Here is a 24,763-nt window from a genome sequence, read left to right as displayed (position 1 = left end):
CAATCTAGGCAATACCATTCAGGACATAGGAGCGGGCAAAGATTTCATGACAAAGATGCCAAAAGCAATTGCAACAAAAGCAAAAATTGACAAATAGGCTCTAATTATACTAAAGAGCTTCTGTACAGCAAAAGAAACTATCAACAGACTAAAGAGACAACCTTCAGAATGGGAGACAATTTTTGCAAACTATGCATCTGACAAAGGCCTAATATCCAGCATCTCAAAGGGACTTAAACAAACTTGCAAGAAAAAAAAACAACTCCATTAAAAAGTAGGCAAAGGATATGAACAGACATTTCTCAAAAGAAGACATGCACGCAGCCAACAAACATATGAAAAAAAAGCTCAACATCACTGATCATTAAAGACAAGCAAATCAAAACCACAATGAGATGCGATCTCACACCAGTCAGAATGCCTATTATTAAAAAGTTAAAAACAAAACTAAACAAAAAGACAGATGCTGGAGAAGTTGTGGAGAAAAAGGAACACTTTTACACTATTGGTGGGAGTGTAAACTAGTTCAACCATTGTGGAAGGCAGTGCGGCGATTCCTCAAAGACCTAAAGACAGAATTACCATTCAACCTCACAATCCCATTACTGGGCATACGCCCAAAGGAATATAAACTGTTCTATTATAAAGACACATGCATGTGTGGGTGGGTTCATTGCAGCACTATTCACAATAGCAAAGACATGGAATCAACCTAAATGCCCATCAATGATAGACTGGATAAAGAAAATGTAGTACATATACACCATAGAATACTATGCAGCCATAAAAAAAAAACAAGAACATGTCCTTTGCAAGGACATGGATGGAGCTGAAGGCCATTATCCATAGCAAACTTATGCAGGAACAGAAAAACCAGATTCTGCATGTTCTCACTTACAAGTGGGAGCTAAATGATGAGAACACACAGACACATAAAAGGAAACAAACCATACTGGGGCCTATCAGTGGGTGAAGGATGGGAGGAGGGAGAAAATCAGGAAAAATAATTAATGTATACTAGGCTTAATAGCTTAATACCTGGGTGATGAAATAATCTGTACAACCAACCCTCATGTCACATGTTTACCTATGTAACAAGCCTGCATATCTTGCATATGTACCACATATACTATTTTATTTTTATTTTAAGTTCCAGAGTGCATGTGCAGGATGTGCAGGTTTGTTACATAGGTAAATGTGTGCCATGGTGGTTTGCTGCACCTATCAACCTGTCACCGAGGTATCAATCCCAGCATGCATTAGCTATTTTTCCTAATGCTCTCCTTCCCCAACCCCACCCCCCAACAGGCCCCAGTGTGTGTTTTCCCCCTCCCTGTGTCCATGTTATCTCATTGTTCAGTTCCCACTTATAAGTGAGAACATGCAGTCCACATATACTATTTTTAATATATACATATTCATTTATAATTTAAATGTGTATATATATAAATATAAACATATGTACATTTTTAGTAACCTGCAGTGATGACTTCAGTGAATTAAAACAAAAAAAAATGCCAGCAATAGTCTATCAAAGAAATCACTTTGACATCAGTAGGTCTCACACAATATACTATCTAGCAATTCCAAAACCTAGCTGGTTATCAGAATCATTAAGCTTTTAAAAACTATACATTCCTAAGTCATGCCTAAGACCTTTTGTATCCGAATCTCTGAGATTGAAGTCCAGGAATCTGTATATTAAAACACAAAACAACAACCTGATGACTTAAGTTAGGAAACTGCTGGTTTACCAATATAAAATGCAAGTGCCGACGCTGAAGGACAGTGTTAGAACCAGGGTGCAAAGCAGATGTTACTATTTGTACCATGCCTGTGTCCCAGATAAAGACAATTTCAGAAGTATCTTTTTTTTTTTTTCTGAGACAAGTCTTGTTCTGTCGCCCAGGCTGGAGTGCAGTGGTGCGATCTCGGCTCACTGCAATCTCCACCTCCTCGGTTCAAGTGATTCTCCTGCCTCAGCCTCCTGAGTAGCTGGAATTACAGGCTCGTGCCACCATGCCAAGCTATTTTTTTTTCGTATTTTTAGTAGGGACGGGGTATCACCATGTTGGCCAGGCTTGTCTTGAACGCCTGACCTTGTGATCCACCTGCCTCAGCCTCCCAAAGTGCTGGGATTATAGGCGTGAGCCACCGTGCCTGGCCCAGAAGTATCTCTAGAGTCAGTAAAAACAGGAAACTAATATGTTTTAGTAGCTGTTCTCTTCTCAGATGTGCCCAGGTGTGCCACTCTCCAGGTAAAGGTGTAAAGTGATCAAGAAACCATATTTTTATGGGTGAAGCATCAGTATCTACTTCATCAAGAAAGTAACCCACACTGGGTTCCTATTGCCCCAAAATGCTGGGCGCAACATCTTCCGTGTTGAAGTCCTGCTTATTAAATATCTCTTTTGAGAAAGATTTTCTCACAGTAACAAAATCCTGTGGTGATCTTTACTAATATAATTTTGTGGAAAGAAAGAGTGAAGTGTAGGACCCAGGCAGATGGATTAAAATCCTGGCTCTAACACTTACTAGCTGTGTGGCATTGTTTCTTCCGTTTTCTGAGCTTTAGATTCTTTGCCTGTAAAATGGGGATAACAATGACTAGCATTCGTAGTTATTCTGAGGACTAGAGAACATCATAATTGCAAAGCACCTGCACATATTCAATAAGTAATGATAGTGGTTGCTGCTATTTTTATCAAATAATCTGTTCAGTCTCAACTGCATATACCATCATCACTGTGGCTGATTGTGCAAAGGCTTTCTTGGGATATTATAAAACCCATCCAGAGCCACAAAGAAGAAAATCAAATTATTCCCTCCACTAGTTTTGTGATGGTATTTACACATCCTCTTCAGAAGGAGGAAGATGCTCAAGGGAATAATTATCATGAATCTTAGTATTTTACAAAATATTACTTAGATAAATATTTCATCACTGCTTAACATTTATGATAAAAATTAAACCCAGATAGTTGACTCAAGTTCAATTTCTCAAGTGCATTTCAAGTCTAACTCACTTTTGATGAAATGGGATATTCATCACAAATATGTCCTTTGTAGACATAAAACCTGCATAATCTAGAAGCATGCTTCTGGTGTCCTTGTGAGGTGAAATCCAAGAAAAAAAATTTTTAACTTGCTTTTAAAAAAAGAATTTTTGTATTTCTTCAGTCTTCTAAGGCATCTCGACGTGTCAAGTACAAGCCTTATAAAATATTATAAATGTCCAGGCTTGTTAAGTTTACCTTGAAAATAGTGAATACTAATATTAGCTAAAATCACATTTTTATAGAGAAATGCTTTATATGAATTAATCTCCATGACAATTCTCTGCAGTCAAATATTATTTTTTCCACTTTACCGCTGAGGAAAGTGAGGGCTTGGAAACATGAAGTAATCCATGTCTTGCCTGTTCTTCCTAGTTTTCCTGAGGACCACCCTGATGTCTAGGGTGGGGACTGAGAAAGCCACCATATATTAGAGGAGCTCAAAGATCACAGGATAGGTCCTGAAGTCACAGATACCAAGAAAAGAAGAGGAAGGAGATGACAGCAGTGACAAGATTTACAGTGCAAATGAAAGATGAGACGAAAATGCTTTCTGTTGGAATGACCTGGAATGAAAACTGAATGCCTCAATGTATTTGGCTGTGAAATATGAACTTGCACTATTGCTTTTTAAAGTGTGGTCCTGTACTCTACTGGCTGCCTAGCAAGAGGCTGCAACTTGTTCAATGAAGTTCAGTTTTTACCAGACTTGCTTATGGCCTCAGGCCCAGAGTTGAATAAAAGCTACCTCTAAGAGTCAAAGATTCCCCTTGGGAAAAGCCAGAATAAGCTAGAAACATTAGAAGAAAAGATGTTTCATCTTCTCCTTTTTATTATTTGTTAAGATCTCTCTCCTTCTAGGCTAAATTCAGGGGTACTATTGGCTTCAGCTTCAGGAAAGGGGTGCTAACCTTTCCATAAGCTTTCAGTCAAGGTGATGGCACCTGGTTTGCGCTTTAAGTTTGTGGCTGTCAATAAGAGAAGACAAAGATTTGGCCAGGTGTTGTGGCTCGTGCTTGTAATCCCAGCACCTTGGGAGGCTGAGGCAGGAGAATCGCTTGAAGCCAGGTGTTTGAGACCACCCTGGGCAACACAGCAAGACCCCCATATCTACCAAAAATAAATAAATAAATAAAATAAAAAAATTAGCCAGACATGATGGTGCAAACCCGCAGTCCCAGCTACTTGGTAGGCTGAGGTGGGAGGATCACTTGAGCCCAGGAGTTTGAGGCTGCAGTGAGTCATGATTACACCACTGTACTCCAGCCTGGGCCACAGAGGGAGACCTTATCTCTAAAAATTAAAATTAAAATAAGTAAAGAAACAAGAGAAGGCAAAAATATAAAAGGAAGAAAAATGAGCAGTAAGGAATAGCCCACCACTCCTACTGCACACCACACTCATGTACTCCTTACACTGTCCAAGGAGCTAAAAGCGCCGATTAAACATCATTGAAAATGTCTGTTGCAGCTTCCTCCTCCTTTCCCTAGAGTAGGCTTTACTCACACAGGACAGGGGAAATAAAGGCACAGTAACGTTAAGTGACTTCAGTGCTCAGAGTGGAGGAAAATAAAAAGCTTTGGCTTCCTGATTTTTTGGACAGTGGAGCCTGACTGGGGAGTTTTCTGGAAGTGTCTTCTCAGTCATTTCAGCAGTAAGTCTCATCATCCTGCGTTTGCTCTCTTTCTATGCCACGGTTGTTATTGTTGTTGTAATTATTTTTTTCCCCCAAATGCAGCTTTGCCTTTTAGGATGGCCTGAGGTGGAGCAGGAATAATTGCAAGGTGTTTGTGCTTACTCTATAAACAGCACCTCCTCTCCCACTGCCAAACCAGGGAGAGATGGCCCTCCAATGCAGCATGTCTTCTGGGGTGCTTCGTGTCCAAGGTCTGTCTCCCACCATGAAAATTGTCCTGGGCCTCCTATCTTACAATCCTGCCCAGTAATTATTAATATCTAACTGTGTTAGAACTTTACTATCCTTAAGCCCTCAGATCAGTTGACTGAACAGATCAGAGCCACCTAAATAGCCGTTTTTAATCCATCCTTCATTTCTTCTTTCCTTCTCTACTGTCTCTGAGAAGACCCTTTTGTCTTTCTGGCCCCAGGGAACAGCCATGTTCTTATCCCTTCCTTCCATCTCCTCTAGGCAAACAGTCCACAAACTGTCTCCCTCTGCCATTGAAGTTCTCTCTTCTTCTGGATTCTTCTCTGTAGGCAGTAATGAACAACTCTTTCCAGGCTGAGCACAGTACATGGCATATTATATCTGCTCAATGAAGACACGGCTGATTGATTAAAAATATGTGGTCCTTCCCTCAAGCAAGGCAGCCATGTTACACAATTTCAGGGGCACCATTATGTTTTATTCTGTGTGAATGGCATCTGCTTGTGTTGCACATTGAAATGATATTGCCTTCAAATATCTCTTCTAGAAGAATCATCACAGGAATCATACAATCTTTTCTTTAAACATGGCCCTATAAAGAATGAGTATCCTCAGAAATCTAGTTTGGAAAAGCAAGCCCACTTCCATCTAATATGTTTTCAAATTAAGAATCAGACATACTCTAAAAGTTTGACTTCCAGATTGGAAGAGAAAGGAAAATAAAATCTAATTACACATATCTTATCACTTTATTACAGCTCTAAGCCTTTTAATCCTATAGAGGAACACACATTTGGAGGGATAGCAAAATATTTATAAAAAGTCTGTGTTGGTATATTGGTGTTAAAAGAAAGAATTCCAAAACCAAATGATTCAAACACTAATTCAACATGTTTGATTTGTGAGTTCTTTGCCAAGATTGGACTTCATGCACAGATAAATAAACTCACCGAACTAAATCTTTAGAATTGCCATTTTCAGAACTTCAGGAATCACGAAGGAATCCAGGTGTGTAACCACACAGGATCTTAGCCTACGCCCTTTGCCAAAATATATAAATATTTCTAGATGCTGCTTCCACATGTACAAGAATGCTACATAAATCTAACTGTTACAGAATGCCTTCTTCAGATACATTCACCTAAACATATTTCACGGACTGACTAATTCCATTTGATGAACAGAGACTACACTGAGATTTTAGGCAAACAAAAGTTTGGTGTTAAAAAAAAGGGGGGGATGTAGAAGGCTTGCGCATCTACATTCTATAGAAAAAACAAGAACAGTTTCATTATTCTTGAACAGTATAGCTACCCTGAGCTAAAAGCAAGCCTTGTTTGAGTAGAGAAGTGGGTGCTCAAGTCAATTGTTTGCTAACCTAGTAAGTTCGACCCAAAACACCAGTGAACACCAGATGTGCTGTCCTTCATTGGATTGAATCTAAGTGGTCGCCACTCTATATAATCCAGTCTTGAGAGAAACTGTGGAGCTGCTCACATGTCTAAATCGGTGACAGTTTAAGGAAGACCAGCCTCTGTGTCCCTTGCTGAAAATTTAATGACTACCTATTGCCTTCATGTTAAAGTTCAAAATCCTTAGTTGGAAAAAATAGATGATTTAAATGAATTTGTGCTTACCTCTCTAACTTCTTCTCTTAACAATCTCCCCACACCTAAGTAAGTGTGCACATGCATTCAACACACACATACAATTACTCTAATCTTCTGCCATACTAAACGATGTACAATATTGGAAATGCTCCACCTTCCCTTGCCTCTACCTCTTTGTATATGCTCTTTCCTCTGCTTGCAATAGCTTTCCTTTCCTTGTTCACCTGGCTGACTTCTATCTTTCAGTCAAGACTCAGCCTAGATGGTACTTCCTCTGAGAAGTCTTCTTCCAGCCTCCAAGTCTAGCTTGGTTATTCATTCTTTGTGTTCTCACAGGGCTCTGCTCCCATGATAGCATGTAATAAAAGTTTCTTATTTAGTTATATTTCTTCCCAATAAACTATAAACTCTTTGAGAACAAGAACCTCAAACTTGGTTCAGTAAAACCTTATTGACTAAACAAATACCAGATGTTAGCGTATCCCTTTCCTGAATATCTTTATACTTTATTGTACTACTGTCCACTTGAACAGATGAGAAGAACCAATAATTGAATGATATTAAATAAATGGAGATTGCCATGTAAGCCATACTACAGAAAGCCATTCTATTTAAATTTTAATTCATATGGTTCTTTATTTCCTTTACATTTATGCCTCAAGGATTTGAAAGAACTGGAGAAATCTACTAAACCAATGCACACAATAAACTGTATTCAGGTCATGGGAGCACTCGGAAAGGGATGTGCTAATTTGGGAAGGTTTGATGAAAGTTCCTAGGGTTTGACGAAGTAATGAACATAGAAGATGTCAGTGAAGGGAAATAGTGCAGGATAGGTGGAAAATACATAAACAGGAGAAAACAAAAAGCAAAAACTGGCTTGACTCCCTTACATAGAAGCCTGTCAGCAATAAGAGTGACCTGGTGAAAAGGTCACTACTTTGCTAAAAACCAACCTTGGGCAAGACCTTACCCTCTGGCCTGGTGAGCCATCACGTCCTGGTGAACCAACGCCTCCTGGGATACCCTGTGTAGAACAGGGACAAAAAAGAGTCAGGTTCACAGGAATGAGTCATCTGCTCACGCAGCTTCCCTGAAATAGATGAAGGCCTCCAAACAAACCTAAGAGCATAATGGTGAACCCTTTGTAACCTAGAATTCAGACTTAGAAGTTATTCATGGGCAAAGAATGTTCCCTGTCAGAGCTCACCTGGGGAACATCAGTGTGACTCTCAAAAGGGGCTTAGGGTAAGTGAATACAGGCAGTCTTTAATATGGAAAACACTTACCAAGATCACAACTGACTTCAGAAGCTACAGCTTTTTTTTCCCCCTTGGCAAAGTTGTAGACTGAGAGCAATAGACTTAAAAAACAAAAATAATACCTGTGGACCTGGAAGGCCAGTATCTCCTTTCTCTCCTTTTTCTCCTGGCATTCCCTGAATATCCAAAAGTATACAGAGTTAAGTTCACATAGGTAAATTCTTAGCGTTTTCTTTTCCTTCTCTCATTATTTAAATAGTTTCCACAGTAAATCGCGTTTGCACTAACATCTAAACAGAATATATATATATACACTTTTTTTTTTTTTTTTTTTTTTTTAAATGGAGTCTTGCTCTTGTTGCCCAGGCTGGAGTGCAGTGACACGATCTTGGCTCACTGCAACCTCTGCCTCCTGGGTCCAAGCTATTCTCCTGCCTCAGCCTCCTGAGTAGCTGAGATTACAGATGCCTGCCACCACACCCAGCTAATTTTTGTACTTTTAGTAGAGACGGGGTTTCATCATGTTGGCCAGGCTAGTCTCAAGCTCCTGACTTCAGGTGATCTGCCTGCCTCGGCCTCCCAAAGTTTTAGGATTACAGGCATGAGCCATTGCGCCTGGCCAACAGAATATATTTCACTTTCCACATATGTTATGCCATTTATGTAAACATTCCTATGGAGCTGAACATTTATATACCAGGATAGTTTTAACATAGAATATACAGTCTAATATGGCAAGGCCAATATTGTAAATACATGCAGGGCGGCTTGAACATTTCAGTATTATTTACGGCTTGGATTTTACAATCTCATATCTATGTAGATTTGTTTTGTTTTGTTTTGGCTAGAAACATACTTAAATGGAATATAAGAAGGGAAAAGCAAACACAGAATCTGGCATGTAGTAAGACCTCAACCAATGTTTATTATTAGTAGTAATTACACAAATTGGCATGTTAATGCTTTCTAAAATGTAAAAATAACACTGTAGGAGAAACTTCTCAGCTAGGCAGACACAATCATATGTGCAGAAAGATTGCCAAAAATTGTGCTTAAAAGGATCTGGTTGCTTCAAATATGAATTAAAGAGATTGTTTTTATTCTTAAATCTAGACTCCTACAGTAAGATTAATGAAGATCAGTGAATGGAATTAAACTTTTTTTTCAATGGTACAAAATGACTTTTCAAAGAAATGCAGCTATATAAAATACATCATCTAAAAATCTAAACTCTCACTCTCCATAAACTGCACTTTGATGCCATTTGAGATAAGGATCATGAATAAATGGCTTTTATTAATTTATATCAGCAGTTACTACACATAATTAAAAAACTTAAATTTGTATAACATTTGTTACTTTCTGAATGTTATCACATCCATTAAGAATTTAGTTAGACGAGAAAAAGGGCTATACATGCTAAGCTTTGTTCTTCCTCTATAGACACAATGCTTGCGGATGGACCTACCTCCAATAAGTATGCATGTACTTATTTGTTAAAAGACCTTCATCATTGGACACAAAAATGGCTAAGGGCACAACTAGTGAAATGACACTCCATCATTGCTTTCAAAGGGACTGAGGTTCATTATTAAGACACAGAAGACAAAAGTTCATTCTTTGTAACCTCATGGAAAAGAGATAACAATAAAACCCGTCTGAATGTTTGAACACAACTCACGGGCATTCCTTGAATGGACAGACCACTTGGTCCTTGAGGTCCAGGTGGACCCTGAGGTCCTGGCAGACCAATTTCACCCCGAGGGCCATCTGGTCCCTGGAAGGCAAGAGAGAAGTATCATCCTAAAAGTAAGTTAGACTCTCTGACATCTAGAAAATATTTCTGCTTAGGACAATTATAATTTGTTTTCTTATATAGTTTTTCTTAAGATAGGAAATACTCAGGATAGCAAGACATCAAGCCTCAAATGATTTACCTTCCAGGCAAAATGTCATCAGTAAACCATAAGAGTAAACACACAGGGATCGCTGTAACTTTATTTTTATCATTACTACTTTTGCTTCTGTAAATAAGAGTGCTATGCCAATTATGTAAGTAATGAGACCCCCCACACTCCATAACAAATTTATAAGTATAAGTGCTTCAAGACCACCTTCCTAGTCTGGGAAGGTTCACACTGTCCAGATGAACTACATTCTCTCTGTCTTCGCTACTGTCAACCACCTACCTCGGGGGGACTCCTCTGCATTTATTGAGAACTTTGCACCTAGCCTCTGCTTTCTTCCTCACTTTGACGCTGCCACCACACTACACCTTCTTCAATGTCCACTGAATGACCTTCCCTCGGCTTAGTATTATTTTACTTCCTTTTTTCATTTTTTGTTTTTGAGACAGAGTCTCATTCTGTTGCCCAGGCTGGAGTGCAGTGGCTTGATCTCAGCTCACTGCAACCTCCCGCTCCCAGGTTCAAGTGATTCTCCTGCCTCAGCCTCCTGAGTAGCTAGGATTACAGGCATGCACCACCACACCTGCCTAATTTTTGTATTTTTAGTAGAGATGGGGTTTCACCATGTTGGCCAGGCTGATCTTGAACTCCTGACCTCAGGTGATCTGCCCAATTTGGCCTCCCAAAGTACTGGAACTACAGGCGTGAGCCACCACTCCCAGCCTATTTTACTTCCTTTCTTTTCAGGATCAGACATCCCTTTTACCCTTATTTCTGTAACCCTTATTTCTGTAGCTTGGATCTTGTTGCGGTTTAACTAAAACTAAACCATGTAAGAAATATTAGACCCAAAAACCTACCTATCCTCAGTCTCTTCTGTCTCGTTCTGTGACTTCAACTAAAGCTATTCTTTTATTAAATTAGGACCTCCAACATCTGTGTATCATCTTAGCTCTGAGATTGGTGAACACGTTACATGGGACAAAGAATACAGAAAAAAAGGCATTGTGGGGTAAAGTGTGGGTAGATAATGAGTGCAGACTAAGACTTGTTAAGATTTAGGTGCTTGGGATAAACCACATGGAAATGTCCAGCAGGCCAAGGAGTTAGGCAAGGTCTATGCTGGGATGGATTTTGGAGTAGTTGAAAATATATTTATAGGTGAGGTTATTAAGGAGAATGTATTGAGTGAGTGAAATAGAATGTGGATAAAAATGAGATGATAATCAGGTAGAAGGGAAAGGAAGAGAAACCTGGGGAAGAATCTGAAATGAAAAAGCCCGAGAATTAGGAAGAGGCTGAAGACGGAGTGGTATTGTGCTATAGAAACAGCCAAAGGAGGAGAAATTTTCAAACAAAGAAGTGTTTGATTGTGTTAAAAAAATTAAACTCTAATCTATGGAACTGGTAACAAGCAAGTAATTAGGAACTTTTATGAGAGAATTTTCATAGGACTCCCAGAGGAAGAGGAAGCATATGTGGGTTGAGAATTCTTTGGGAGGTGAGCGTGTGGAAGCACTGAATGATAACTATTCTTACAAGGAGCATGGCATAAGAGGAAGGGAGAGGGAGGGAGCTGGATTTTTAAAAATACGATGGAGGCAGCAAGGAGGCAATTTTTATGTATTACTTAGTATTTGTAATGGTTTAATAATAAATCATTTTAATATATAATAGTTTAATAATATATTATTTATTTATTTGAGATGGAGTCTTGCCCTGTCTTGCCCAGGCTGGAGTGCAGTGGTGTGATCTCTGCTCACGGCAGCCTCTGCCTCCCAGGTTCAAGTGATTCTCCTGTGTCAGCCTCCCGAGTAGCTGGGACTACAGGTGCCCACCACCACACCCAGCTAATTTTGTATTTTTAGTAGAGACAGGGTTTCACCATGTTGGCCAGGCTGGTCTCGAACTCCTGACCTCAAAGTGATCCACTTGCCTCGGCCTCCCAAAGTGCTGAGATTACAGGCATGATCCACCGCGCCTGGCTGAGTTTAATAATATGTTATCGAGAAATTGCAAATAGAGTAGAAGGGCAAAAACTAGGGGGTCCCATTTTATCCTATAAAATATGAGGCAAAAATGACTAGGAGAGACCAACAAGAGGTTTGCTTTGTCCTTCCAAATTCTTATTCTGTATTTGCTGCAACAAAATAAAAAATCATACATACTGGGGCCTTCCGTATGCAAGGTATCTATTCCTGCACTGTCCACATTGGTGGACATGTCAACGTCCTTTGTCCAATAAGACTTTTTCCAAAAACCACTACTCACTTGGATCTGTGATTCATCAAAATCATCATACAGAAATAACCATATCAGTAGCAACCTATGGAAATGGTAATTGGAGGAAATGGGTAGGTCTTGGGATCACCAAACATCTACGAACTCATTTATCTTCATGATTAGAACGATCATCCAGTGATCATGTTAGAAAACACTGGGGTCATGCTGATAGAGGCACTGGGAAGAGGGAACTAGAATCTATAGGAGCAGAGGGGCATTGCCTTTGGGTGAAACTGAGGAAGATCCAGTGCACCCTTGCTTGAGAAGAGGCCTCCAACTACTGCCCTTCTTACAGCACCATAAAAGATGGAACCAAGTAAGATACCTCAAGTCTGTCCCACCAAACAAAATAAACAAAAAAGGAGACATCTTATGGTCTGAATTTTGGATTGGGTAGTACCTGATTAATTGTCTTTAGCCTTCTTTCATTTACTTCTTTTTTATCCCAATATTTTCTTCTACCTTGCTTCATCTGTTTCCAATTTTATGGTAAAAAACCTTGCAATGTTCTCCTCTCCATGAATAAATGCTATGTAAATTTAATAAGAAACCATACTGAGCAGTAAGTCAAGCAAGATGGATGGAGAGGAGAACATGTGGAGCAACATGGTGAAAATGAGATGGGAGTCAAGTTACAAAGGGCCTTAAATGCCTCAGCAAAGAGGGTGAACGGTATTCTGAAGGCAACAGCATGTGACTGCAGGTTTTTGAAAAGTATGATATGATCCAGCATAGACTTTAAGGAAATTAATCTGGGGGCAGATGTGAAGAATCAATCGAAATGTTAAGCCACTTGGGACAGAAGACCAGTTAGAAGATTTGCCAAGAGCTGGAGAGAAGATGGTGAGGCCTGAACTCCATTAGTGACTGGGCTTCTGCCAGTCCTCAGGATGCCTTTGTGCAAAGTAGAAAAACGTGTTCCTTGACATGGCTTGGCATGGCTTGGTCTCTTGGCAGGTGCCTTTGAACAATGTACAACCTGAACCACCACATTTGATGACCCTGGGCAGTAAGAATGAAAAACAGAGTTGTGTGTTTGATTATATATAGTGCAGTGGAGGAGGAGGAATCCAAAACCTGAGAAATTACCTGGAAAGGACTAATACCAAATTGTGGTTCTGCATGATTCCTCTAAAGATACGTTTTTGTTGTAGGTAGAGGAAGAGAAGAATGTACAATTTCTGAGAGAACTACCTTGGAGACTAAACCACTCAGAACATTGACATTCTTATTTCTGACCCAGAAGCCTTTCTTTTCATTGAGTTATTAAATATTCTTTTTGATTAAAAGCATAGGCTTTTAAAATAAGGAAGAAGGGTTAGGCACAACTTTCATAAAACTATAAGGAACTTTAGATTGCAAGGGTGAAATAAGTCACATTTAGCTCCAAAATGATGGCTATTTATGAGAGAGAGAGAGAGATGAGACAGAGAGAGAGAGAAAACATGCGCATTACCTTTGGACCCGGTTCACCTTGCTGGCCCTTTGGTCCTCGGAGTCCTGGACCACCCTGGCAAACAGATGTTAAGTATTAGCTCAAAGACAAATCTCAAAACAGTGTATTTCATTCATTTTCCTTAATAGTATGAATTAACTCATTATTATTTTATGTAAAGGCCAACACACTGTGTAATAGTATACATTCATCATGATCCTTAACTGGAAATTTACCACCCAGCCCCAGCGCTGCAGACGATTTCATGGTTTTGGAAAACTTTCTTTGCCAAATTCTTTTTAAATATTGAAAAATGGTAAGATTTTATTTACTTAGTGGTTATAGAAGACTACCATTATGAATGACCCAAAGAATACAATGTTAATCAAAATTATATATGTTATAAAACATACATATATAACATATAAAACATAACTTTGAGATGATCCAATTAAATTGTAGAAAGCACATGAAAGTAGCAACAACCTGATTTTCTTTATTTACACAGCAAAAGGACAATTAGTTTCATCTTTCTGAAAGTTGTCATTCATATTTCCCCTCAAAACTTTTGCCATATTATCTAGACTATTATTTAATAGCAGTTTTCTTTATATAGATATATATCTACAAACATAATATGTATATATATGTGTATATATTCCCTGTATATATGTTCATATGTGTCTAAACACATGTGTGTATTTACTGAATATCTTAATTGACTATTTCACTTATTTTAAAAGCAAATACAGCATTACAGTAAATGAAAAAAAGTATCGCTTGCTAAAACTATAAGGTAATCTTAGAAATCAATACACTATAAATAATGCTATTAAATTCAGCTAGATTGGCCAGGCACAGTGGCTCATGCCTGTAATCCCAGCACTTTGGGAGGCCAAGGCGGGTGGATCACGAGGTCAGGAGATCGAGACCATCCTGGCTAACACGGTGAAACACCGTCTCTACTGAAAATACAAAAAAATTAGCCGGGCGTGGTGGCGGGTGCCTGCAGTCCCAGCTACTCAGGAGGCTGAGGCAGGAGAATGGCGTGAACCTGGGAGGCGGACCTTGCAGTGAGCTGAGATCACTGCACTCCAGCCTGGGCGGCAAAGTGAGACTCCCTCTCAAAACAAAAAAAATTTAGCTAGATTCTGTTTCTATTGAAGTCTGTGAGCCAAGAGTTCGCTCTTCGATAAAAAGGGAGATGAGTGTTAGGAGGACCATGTGGGCACTAGACAGAATTTATATTTTACCTGAGCAGAAGGATTGAAAAATCATTGAAAATGGAATAACTTTCTCCCTGTGTGATTCCAGTTTATTTCATGCCATGTCCAGGATTACTAAAAGGGATTCTGTACACTATTAGCAGAATGCTGTATCACTTAAGAAAACACTGGGTCAGGTGATCTTTAAAATTTCCTCAGCTTTTTAAAAAACCATTTACATGCACTCTTCCTTTTTATCAATTAGTTGCTCATCTTCTAGATTTTAAAAATGCAATTATAAAACGTAATTTTATTTATGTGCATCTATATCTATACAAAATACTGCCCGTGGTATTACTGTATTATTTGCTGTGTATGTTTTAAATATGTGATGTCACACTTTTTACATAGTTATGACTTCAACTTAATATGCTTTAGTGATTTTTTATTATAGCACACATAGATCTAATTCATTCTTAACTGTTGCATAGTTGTCTGAACCTTGGATATGTTAAGAGTTTGTTTAGCCATTCTTTTATTACCGGAAATTTAAGTAGTTTTATTCCCACAATTTTCAGCCATTTAAACAATGCTTCAGGCTGGGCGCACTGGCTCACGCCTGTAATCCCAGCACTTTGGGAGGCCAAGGCGGGTGGATCACTTGAAGTTAGGAGTTTGAGACCAGCCTGGCCAACATGGTGAAACCCCATCTCTATTAAAAATACAAAAGTTAGCTGAGTGTGGTGGCACAGGCCTGCAATCCCAGCTATTTGGGAGGTTGAGGCAGGAGAATCGCTTAAACCCAGGAGGCAGAGGTTGCAGTGAGCCGAGATCATGCCACTGCACCCCAGCCTAAGCGACAGCGTGAGACTCCGTCTCAAAAAATTAAAAATTAAAAAAAAATTTTTAAATGCTTCAATTAACATCCTTACATATCCCTTAAGTGAAACTGTTAGTATTTCTCAGAAGAAGATACCAAGAGTAGAATCGTTAAGTGAAAGTTGATAAATTTGCAGATATATTATCATATTGTACTCTAAACTAACTGTGCCAGTTTATTGATCTGCCAATAGTTTAAGAGGGTCCCTGTTTCCTTAAATCTTAATCAACCCTGAATATTATCAAACTTTACATTTTTATCAACCTGATTGCTGAAAATATACCTTATTCTTGTTCTAATTTTCATTTCCCTGAAAACTATTATGATTATGTATCTTTTCATAAGTTTATCTATTTGCATTTATTCTCACTGTGACTGTCTATTTATATACTTTACTCAGTTTTCCATTGGGTTACATGTCTTTTTCTCTTTAATGAGTAGAAATTCTTCATATGAAGTCATAAATTGCTTGGTGATGGAAATGCATTCTGAGAAATGTGTTGTTAGGCAATTTTGTCGTTGTGTGAACATCGTGGAGTGTACTTACACAAACTTAGATGTTATATATATTTTTATTTGTAGATATTTTCTACATGGAAGACCAAATGTCCCAGCACCATTATTGAATATCAATCATTTCTCTACTTGATCTGCAATGCCACTATCAAGTGCCATATATCAGATTTCCATATATGCTTCATTATAGTTTTTCCCCCAGTGTGTCAGAAACTATGGCTGGCTACCTAAGAGCCTTTTCTGACCCCCTTTTCCCTTTCATCCCTAGATAAAGGCCAAAAAAGACAGATACTTGTTTTCTCAGCTTTTCTTTGCAACCAGGAATCATTGTGTTAAGCAGTTTTGGCCAATTTGATCAAGAAGCAACATGGGAAGCTAGAGCAAGCACAAGTCCTTGATGAAGTCGTCTAGCAGCCTCATTTGCCTTCTTCAGACCATCTCCCTCTAAATCTTCTATTGAGCAAACAATAAATGTCCTATTGTCCTCATAGTTTACACTACTGTGTTAGCTAAATTTTCTGTTTCTCGCAGCCTAGTCTCTCCCAGTTAATATACCCAGTCTGTCACAACTTTTTAATTTTGTTTTTGCATCTTAAATGATTTGTTTTCAACTGAAGATTTTATTCAAATATATATTCAAATATATCTTCAACTGAAGATTTTATTCAAATAATAATAATCAAGACTGTTTACCTCACAGATATTCATGTCAGAGGCACCATGTCTAAAAGCCAGGGACCACTTTACACTTCTAACTTACTTTCCACCTCATCCTTAACCCTTGTCACTGGGCATATCACAAGAATTCAGCAAATACTTGTTGACGAAAACACTCATTTTTTCAATAAGAGAGGCTTAGACTTCACAAAGAGAATATGATTCTTCTATCCAGGCCTTCCTACAGATCCTTTAGTTTTATTGATACGTCATACTACTGTGTAAATTCATGAATGAGAAAACAATTAAAGAATGTTCAATCATCAAACAGAATTTATTACATATTGCTCAGGATACTATTTCTTAGTTTATTACGCTTTATTTAGAATACAAAATTTCCTTATTTGAAATTTTTGAAATATAAATTTTCAATTGCTTTTTTCTCATTTTACATCTTTCTTCCCCCTCCAATTCAAAGCTCAACCCTTCCCTTTCACATCTCTGCTGCTTCTCCCCATTAGAAAGTTTGCTGTTTAGGTCACAAATAAATATTTTATCACTTGTTCCAGTAAATTACAGATGAAAAAACTTGAAAACCCTCCTGCTATAAACATGTATTAATGCTGGCTAAAACACTACTGTAATTAAGAACTCTATTCTTAAGTACCAAGAAGAAAGAAACAATAAAAAACTATAGTATACATGTGAACTGAAACTGCCTTCAGGAAGGATGGGAAAGATGGCTGAGGCTTGCTGGAAAGTTTATGTTTTAGAGTTCACACAAGCAATAATAATAATCAAGACATCTAATTTGTGATGTTAAAAACAGTATTAAAATACTGGGTAGTAAGAGCACATAAATTATTAAGAAGATGATCTAAGTTGAAAGAATTCCAACTCATCATACTGGCAAAGTAGGATAGAAATGGTGATTATTTTAAACATTGTTAAACTAAGTATATCTGGTAGAAACTTCTGGGTTAACTATTAATAGAAAAGCTACAGAGTATACTTTCCAAACTAGTGGAGGAGAAAAAAGGAATACAAAAAAAGCAAAAATTAAAGACAAAAATAAATACAATCTCAAGCAAAAAATATATATGTAACACAAATAAAAAGCAAAAATTAAGAAATTAAGAAAAACCAAGAAAGTAAAATTAAAGTTGTGGATGTAAATCAGAATGGGTCAGTTATTACAACCAACAGAATGGACTAGACTATGAAAGAAAGATTGTAAAACTGGATTAAAAGCAAAATCTTGGCATATGCTATTTAAAGAGAAATATCTAAAATATAAATATAAAGACAATGAAATGTCGCAAATAAAAAGTGAAGAAAATATATGTTACAAATTAATATTTGTTAAGATTTGCCCATATATTTGCTATTTCTTTGGTCATAATTTCTTCTGGTATCATTTTTCTTTATTTTAAATTATGTCCTAGGCATATTCCTTAATGAGAGAATATTGGTGGTAAATTATTAGTTTTTGTTCATCTGAAATATTTTTATTTCTGACATCTGAAATGTTTTTAAAAGAGTTTTTGGCCAGGTGCGGTGGCTCACGCCTGTAATCCCAGCACTTTGGGAGGCCGAGGCAGGCAGATCACCTTAGGTTAGGAGTTTGAGACCAGCCTGACAAACATGGAGAAACCCCATCTCTACTAAAAATGCAAAAAATTAGCCTGGCATGGTGGCACATGCCTGTAATCCCAGCTACTCGGGAGGCTGAGGCAGGAGAATCACTTGAACCTGGGAGGCAGAGGTTGTGGTGAGCCGAGATTGTGCCATTGCACTCCAGCCCGGGCAACAAGAGCAAAACTCCGTCTCAAAAAAAAAAAAAAAAGTTTTCACAGTTGTACAGAGATTGCTAATTGTCCTCATATTCATTTCCACTGCTTCTTTGTAATAATACAATCCCCTGAGTTTTAACTAAACATATAACCATCCAACTAGGGACTTGATTTCTTGGAATCCTACGTAAGTAGGTATGACTAAGTGCTGGCTAATGGAATATGAGAGAAAGGGTGCTGCATATACCCTGGGTGTTATTCTTAAATGAAAACCAAATGCTGTCCTCAACCATTTTCTCCCTTTCCAACTGGCTGGAATGAGAACATGCAAGTTAGACAAATTAGAAAATTAAAAAATTAGACAAAGAGTCCAAAAGACAATATTGAAACTATATTAATATTAGACAAATCAGACTTGAAGTAAAAAGCATTACTGAAGTTAAATGGTTTCATTCACAATGATTCACGTAACAAGCCAATAGGAAGACAACAGTTCTAATATTTTGAACATTTTAACATAATCTCAGGATATATAAAAAATTAAAATTAAGCAGGGTCAAGAAGTTCTTTGAAACTAATGAGAACAAAGGTACAACATACCAGAATCTCTGGGATACAGCTAAGGCAGTGTTAAGAGAGAAATTCATAGCACTAAACACGCACATCAAAAAGTTAGAAGGATCTCAAATTAACAACCTACTATCACAACTGAGAGAATGAGAGAAGCAAGAGCAAACCAACCCCAAAACTAGCAGAAGACAAGAAATAACCAAGATCAGGGCTGAACTGAAGGAAATCAAGACATGAAAAAATATTCAAAAGACAACGAATCCAGTAGTTAGTTAGTTTTTTGAAAAAATTAATAAGATAGATAAGCCACCAGCTAGACTAATAAAGCAGAAAAGAAAGAAGATCCAAATAAATACAATTACAAATGACAAAGGGGATGTTACACTGACCCCACAGAAATAAAAGTAACCATTAGAAACTACTACAAATACCTCTATGCACACATACTAGAAAACCTAGAAGAGATGGATAAATTCCTGGACACATACACCCTCCCAAGACTAAACCAGAAAGAAATTGATTCCCTGAACAGACCAATAACAAGGTCTAAAATTGAATCCATAATAAATAGTCTAGCAACCAAAAAAAAAGCCCAGGGCCAGATGGATTCACAGTCAAATTCTACAAGATGTACAAAGAAGAGCTGGTAACATTCCTTTTGAAACTATTCCAAAAAGTTGAGGAGGAATAACTCTTCCTCAACTCATTCTATGAGGTCAGCATCATCCTGATAGCAAAACCTGGAAGAGACACAACAACAGAAAAGAAAAGTTCCAGCTAATATCCTTGATGAACATCAATTCAAAATTCTTCAACAAAATACTTGCAAACTGAATCCAGCAGCACATCAAAAAGCTAATCCACCACAGTCAAGTAGGCTTCATCCCTGGGATGCTAGGTTGGCTCAACATATGCAAATCAATAAATGTGATTCATCACGAACAGAACCAAAGACAAAAACCACGTAATTATCTCAATAGATGCAAAGAAGGCTTTTGATAAAATTCAACATCCTTCATGTTAAAAACTCTCAATAAAATAGGTATTGAAGGAACATACCTTAAAATAATAAGAGCCATATATGACAAACCTGCAGCCAACATCATACTGAATGGGCAAAAGCTGGAAGCATTTCCTATTGAAAACCAGCACAAGACAAGGATGTTCTCTCTCACCACTCCTATTTAACATAGTATTGGAAGTCCTGGCCAGTGCAATCAGGCAAGAGAAAGAAATAAAGGCATCCAAATAGGAAGACAAGGAGTCAAACTATCCCTGTTTGCAGATGACATGATTCTACATGTAGAAAACCCCATCATCTTAGCCCAAAAGCTCCTTCAGCTAATAAACAACTTTGGCAAAGTTTCAGGATATAAAATCAATGCACAAAGATCACTAACATCCCTATACACCAACAGCAGCCAAGCTAAGAGCCAAACCAAGAATGCAATCCCATCCACAATTGCCACAAAAAGCATAAAATACCTAGGAATACAGCTAACTAGGAAGCTGAAAGATCTCTACAATGAGAATTATAACACTGCTCAAAGAAATCAGAGATGACATAAACAAATGGAAAAACGTTTCATGCTCTTGGATAGGAAGTATCAATACTGTTAAAATGGCCATCCTCCCCAAAGCAATTTACAGTGTTACTGCTGCTCCTATCAAACTACCAATAACATTCTTTACAGAACTAGAAAAAAACTATTTTAAAATTCATGTGGAACCACAAAAGAGCCTGGATAGTCAAGGCAATCCTAAGCAAAAAGAACAAAGCTGGAGCATCATGTTATGCAACTTCAAACTATACTATAGGGCTATGGTAATCAAAACGGTATGGTACTGGTACAAAAACAGACACATAGACCAGGGGAATAGAATACAGAACCCAGAAAAAAGACAACATACCTATGACCATCTGATCTTCAGCAGAGCTGACAAAAACAAGCAATGGAGAAAGGATTCCCTATTCAATAATGGTACTGGGATAACTGGCTAGCCATATGCAGAAGATTGAAACTGGACCCCTTCCTTACACCATATACAAAGACTAACTCAAGATGGACTAAAGACTTAAATGTAAAATCCACAACTATAAAAACCCTGGAAGACAACCTAGGCAATACCATTTTCAGGACATAGGCACGAGCAAAGATTTCATGACAAAGAAGACATCAAAAGCAATCACAACAAAAGCAAAAATTTACAAATGGGCTCTAATTATACTAAGGTGCTTCTGCACAGCAAAAGTAACTATCAACAGAGTAAACAGACAACCTACAGAATGGAAGAAAATTTTTGCAAACTATGCATCTGACAAAGGTCTAACATCCAGCCTCTATTAGGAACTTAAACAAATTTACAAGAAAAAAACCCAAATGACCCCATTAAAAAGAGAGCAAAGGACATAAACAGACACTTTTCAAAAGAAGGACATAAACAGACACTTTTCAAAAGAAGACATACAAGTGGCCAAAAAGCATATGAAAAAAAGCTCAGTATCACTGATCATGAGAGAAATGAAAATCAAAACCACAATGAAATACCATCTCACAGCAGTCAGAATGCCTATTATTAAAACATAAAGAAATAACTGATGCTGGCAAGGTTACAGAGAAAAGGGAACACTTATACACTGTTGGTGGGAGTGTAAATTAGTTCAACCATTGTGAAAAGCAGTGTGGTGATTCCTCAAAGAGCTACAAACAGAACAACCATTCAACCCAGCAATCCTATTACTGCGTATATACCCAAAGGAATATAAACCCTTCTATCATAAAGACATATACACACGAATGTTCACTGTAGCACTATTCACAATAGCAAACACATGGAATCAACCTAAATGCCCATCAGTGACAGATTGGATAAAGAAAATGTGGTACATATACATCATGGAATACCATGCAGCTATAAAAAAGATCAAGATCATGTCTTTTGTGGGAACATGGATGGAGCAGGAGGCCATTATCCTTAGGAAACTAACACAGAAACAGAAAACCAAATACCACATGATTTCACTTATAAGTGGGAGCTAAATGATGAGAACTCATGGACACAAGGAAGGGAACAACAGACACGGGGGCCTACCTGAGGGTGGAGGATGGAAGGAGAGAAAGGAGCAGAAAAATAGCTATTGAGTACTAGACTTGGTACTTGGGTGATGAAATAATCTGTACAACAAATCCTTGTGACATGAGTTCACCTATCTATGTAACAAACCTTCGCATGTACCCCTGAACCTAAAGTAAAAGTTTAAAAAAAGAGAGAAAGTGGACAAAGCAGATGTATGCAAATCTTACAGGTACAAGTAAAGGTCCTGGTTTGAAATATTCACACCGAAAATTAACCACAGTAGCTGTAAGGGAAGATTTTGAATATAGACCAGTATGAGACATCGTATGACACAGTGGTGAGAAGCATCATCTCTAGGAGTCATGGAGACTTGGATTTGAAGCCCAGCCCAGCTCCTCCAAGCTGTGTTCTTTAATCAAGTTACTTAACATCTCTGTGTCTCACTGCATTCCTACAATTAAGTGAGTAATAGCCATTTAGTACAGTAGACAACACATATTAGACACACAAGTGATAGCTATTAATATTATTAAAGAAAATTTAAGGCTGAACTCAGCAAGACTTACTGGTGGGCCCGCTGGTCCCAGAGCCACTTCATTGGTTTCAGAACAGGAGCAGGAATGGGGAAGGTCTGGGCAAGACTCATCATCTCTCTGAAAAGAAACAAAAAAAGCACAACCATTAGCATGCCAGTTTATACAAATGGCTTTACTGGCTCAAAGAAAACAGTTTGATTTAAGATATTTTTAGATTTTCAAGTGCACATTAGAAAGGCAGAGAATATTCACTCCTGATTACAAAATCTTTTCTGTAAAGAAAAATGAATGGGTACCTCCTAGTCACTGATAATCACTATTATCAATGGGTGTTGCTAAAACCAGCTTGGGAATCCAGGTGAGGAAAGACAATCAGAAGTGAGTGCAACAAAAAAAAAATCTTGATTACTATTTAATTCTGTTGGTTGGAGTGATAGTACTCTGTGAACTAAAGGTCTTGAAAACTTTTTTATGCTACAATAATTTTTCTGTTTCAAAGGATAAAGGAAAACTTGGAGTACTCAATCAAAACAACTATATCTGTACTAAAACAAACAAAGAAAAACAAAATAAAATCAATGTTTAAACTCTTCATCAATTCCCTATGACAATTTCCACAACTGCTCACATTCTGTGGTTGAAAGTAAGAAAAACATCACAGTGTAGATCTGAGGCTCTGGAATAGGAGAACATTTTTCTTCTCTCTTAGGGAATATTGTTGTCATGTGACATTACAAAATAGATTATTAATGGAAGGCTGAATATATCTGAATGAGTTACTGGAATGCAGAGGAAGACAGAGCACCTGCTAACAGCTATTGAACAATTTGTAAATATCCCATTTAGAGCAGCAGCCAAAATGAGCTCAGCACTGGGATAAAATACTATAGAACTTCACAGAGTTCATCAGTCCCTTTGGATAGAGAAAAACCTAGTCATTATTTAAGACTTTGGGGGAAAATAAAATTAGAGCCAAATAGAGCACAGATGACAGTTAAATTGCCAAATTGAAAATAATCTGAGTCTCTACAATATTCACAACAGAAACCCAAGAAAGGTTAAGCAAATGGACTGTTACATGGTGTATATACTTTTCTCTAAATGTTGGACAACAGTAAAATATTTCAGTTCAAACCCCCTATAAACACATCTGGCCTGAAATCTGGCCAGCTAGAGTGAAACATAAAGTTAAGTATTCTGAAAGATCCCAAAATAAGGCTAACAACAGGCCACCTGTAGCCAGAGACTCAGTGATAGTTTTGCCAGTGCTGCTGACTGTTACTGCACGGTGTCTTTTTACTATGGAATTTACGCCTCTTAAATGAGACAAGTAAAAAGAAAAGGAACGAGAAAGATCCTTCCTAGAAAAAGTGGTGATCACATCTTTGCTTGATACAACAGAGGATTCCGAGTGTTTCTCCTGCCAGTTTCCCATCTACCTTCCCTTTAGCATAACATCAAGGTGTCTCTAATTTAATTTCTTCCAGAGTTTACTAGAAACTTATTTTGGTGAAGAAATAACAAGTTGCTTCCTTCTCAAATACAGACTGCCATGAATTTGGTGCTTGCAATAGATGTTGTGAGGTGTTAAGTCTTATTTATATGGTTTGGCTTTTTGATACGGTAAGTCTTACTGATACAGTTTGGCTGTGTCCCCACCCAAATCTCATCTTGATATAGTTCCCATAATCCTCACGTGTCACAGGCAGGACCCAGTGGAGTAACTTTTTCAACTCAGTAACTTTTTCTTCAGTGCATAATGTAAGCCAGGTATGAATCATAGGGGCGGTTACCTCCATGCTGTTCTTGTGATAGTGAGCACATTCTTATGAGATCTGATGGATTTATGAGGGGTTTTCCCCCACCTTCGCTCTGCACTTCTCCTTGCTGCCACCTTCTGAAGAAGGAAGTGTTTGCTTCCCCTTCCACCATGTTTGTAAGTTTCCTGAGGCCTCCACAGCCGTACAAAACTGTGAGTCAACTAAACCTTCCTTTATAAATTACCCAGTCTGGGGTATGTCTTTATTAGCAGCATGAGAACAAACTAATACGGTTATAAGGTCAAATCTCACAGACTTCATGAAGGG

At 37.9% G+C, this 24,763-nt stretch overlaps 1 protein-coding gene across 11 annotated transcripts in view; it reads right to left on the bottom strand.

Moving 5' to 3' along the window:
• Positions 1-24,763, bottom strand: part of COL14A1 (collagen type XIV alpha 1 chain) — a 249,120-nt gene that overhangs the window by 50,049 nt on the left and 174,308 nt on the right. For all 11 annotated transcript variants that reach the window (NM_001413490.1, NM_001413491.1, NM_001413493.1 and 8 more), the window contains 5 exons: positions 22,707-22,793; positions 13,463-13,516; positions 9,498-9,593; positions 7,939-7,992; positions 7,528-7,581 (listed from right to left, as the gene is read on the bottom strand). In NM_001413490.1, coding sequence (NP_001400419.1) covers positions 7,528-7,581; positions 7,939-7,992; positions 9,498-9,593; positions 13,463-13,516; positions 22,707-22,793 — 345 coding nt within the window. The remainder of the gene's footprint in view (positions 1-7,527; positions 7,582-7,938; positions 7,993-9,497; positions 9,594-13,462; positions 13,517-22,706; positions 22,794-24,763) is intronic.

Source organism: Homo sapiens, chromosome 8 (assembly GCF_000001405.40).
Source record: "Homo sapiens chromosome 8, GRCh38.p14 Primary Assembly".
Taxonomy (NCBI): Eukaryota; Metazoa; Chordata; class Mammalia; order Primates; family Hominidae; genus Homo; species Homo sapiens.
Note: the sequence above shows the minus strand (reverse complement) of the source record. Positions and strands in the feature narration are given on the sequence as shown.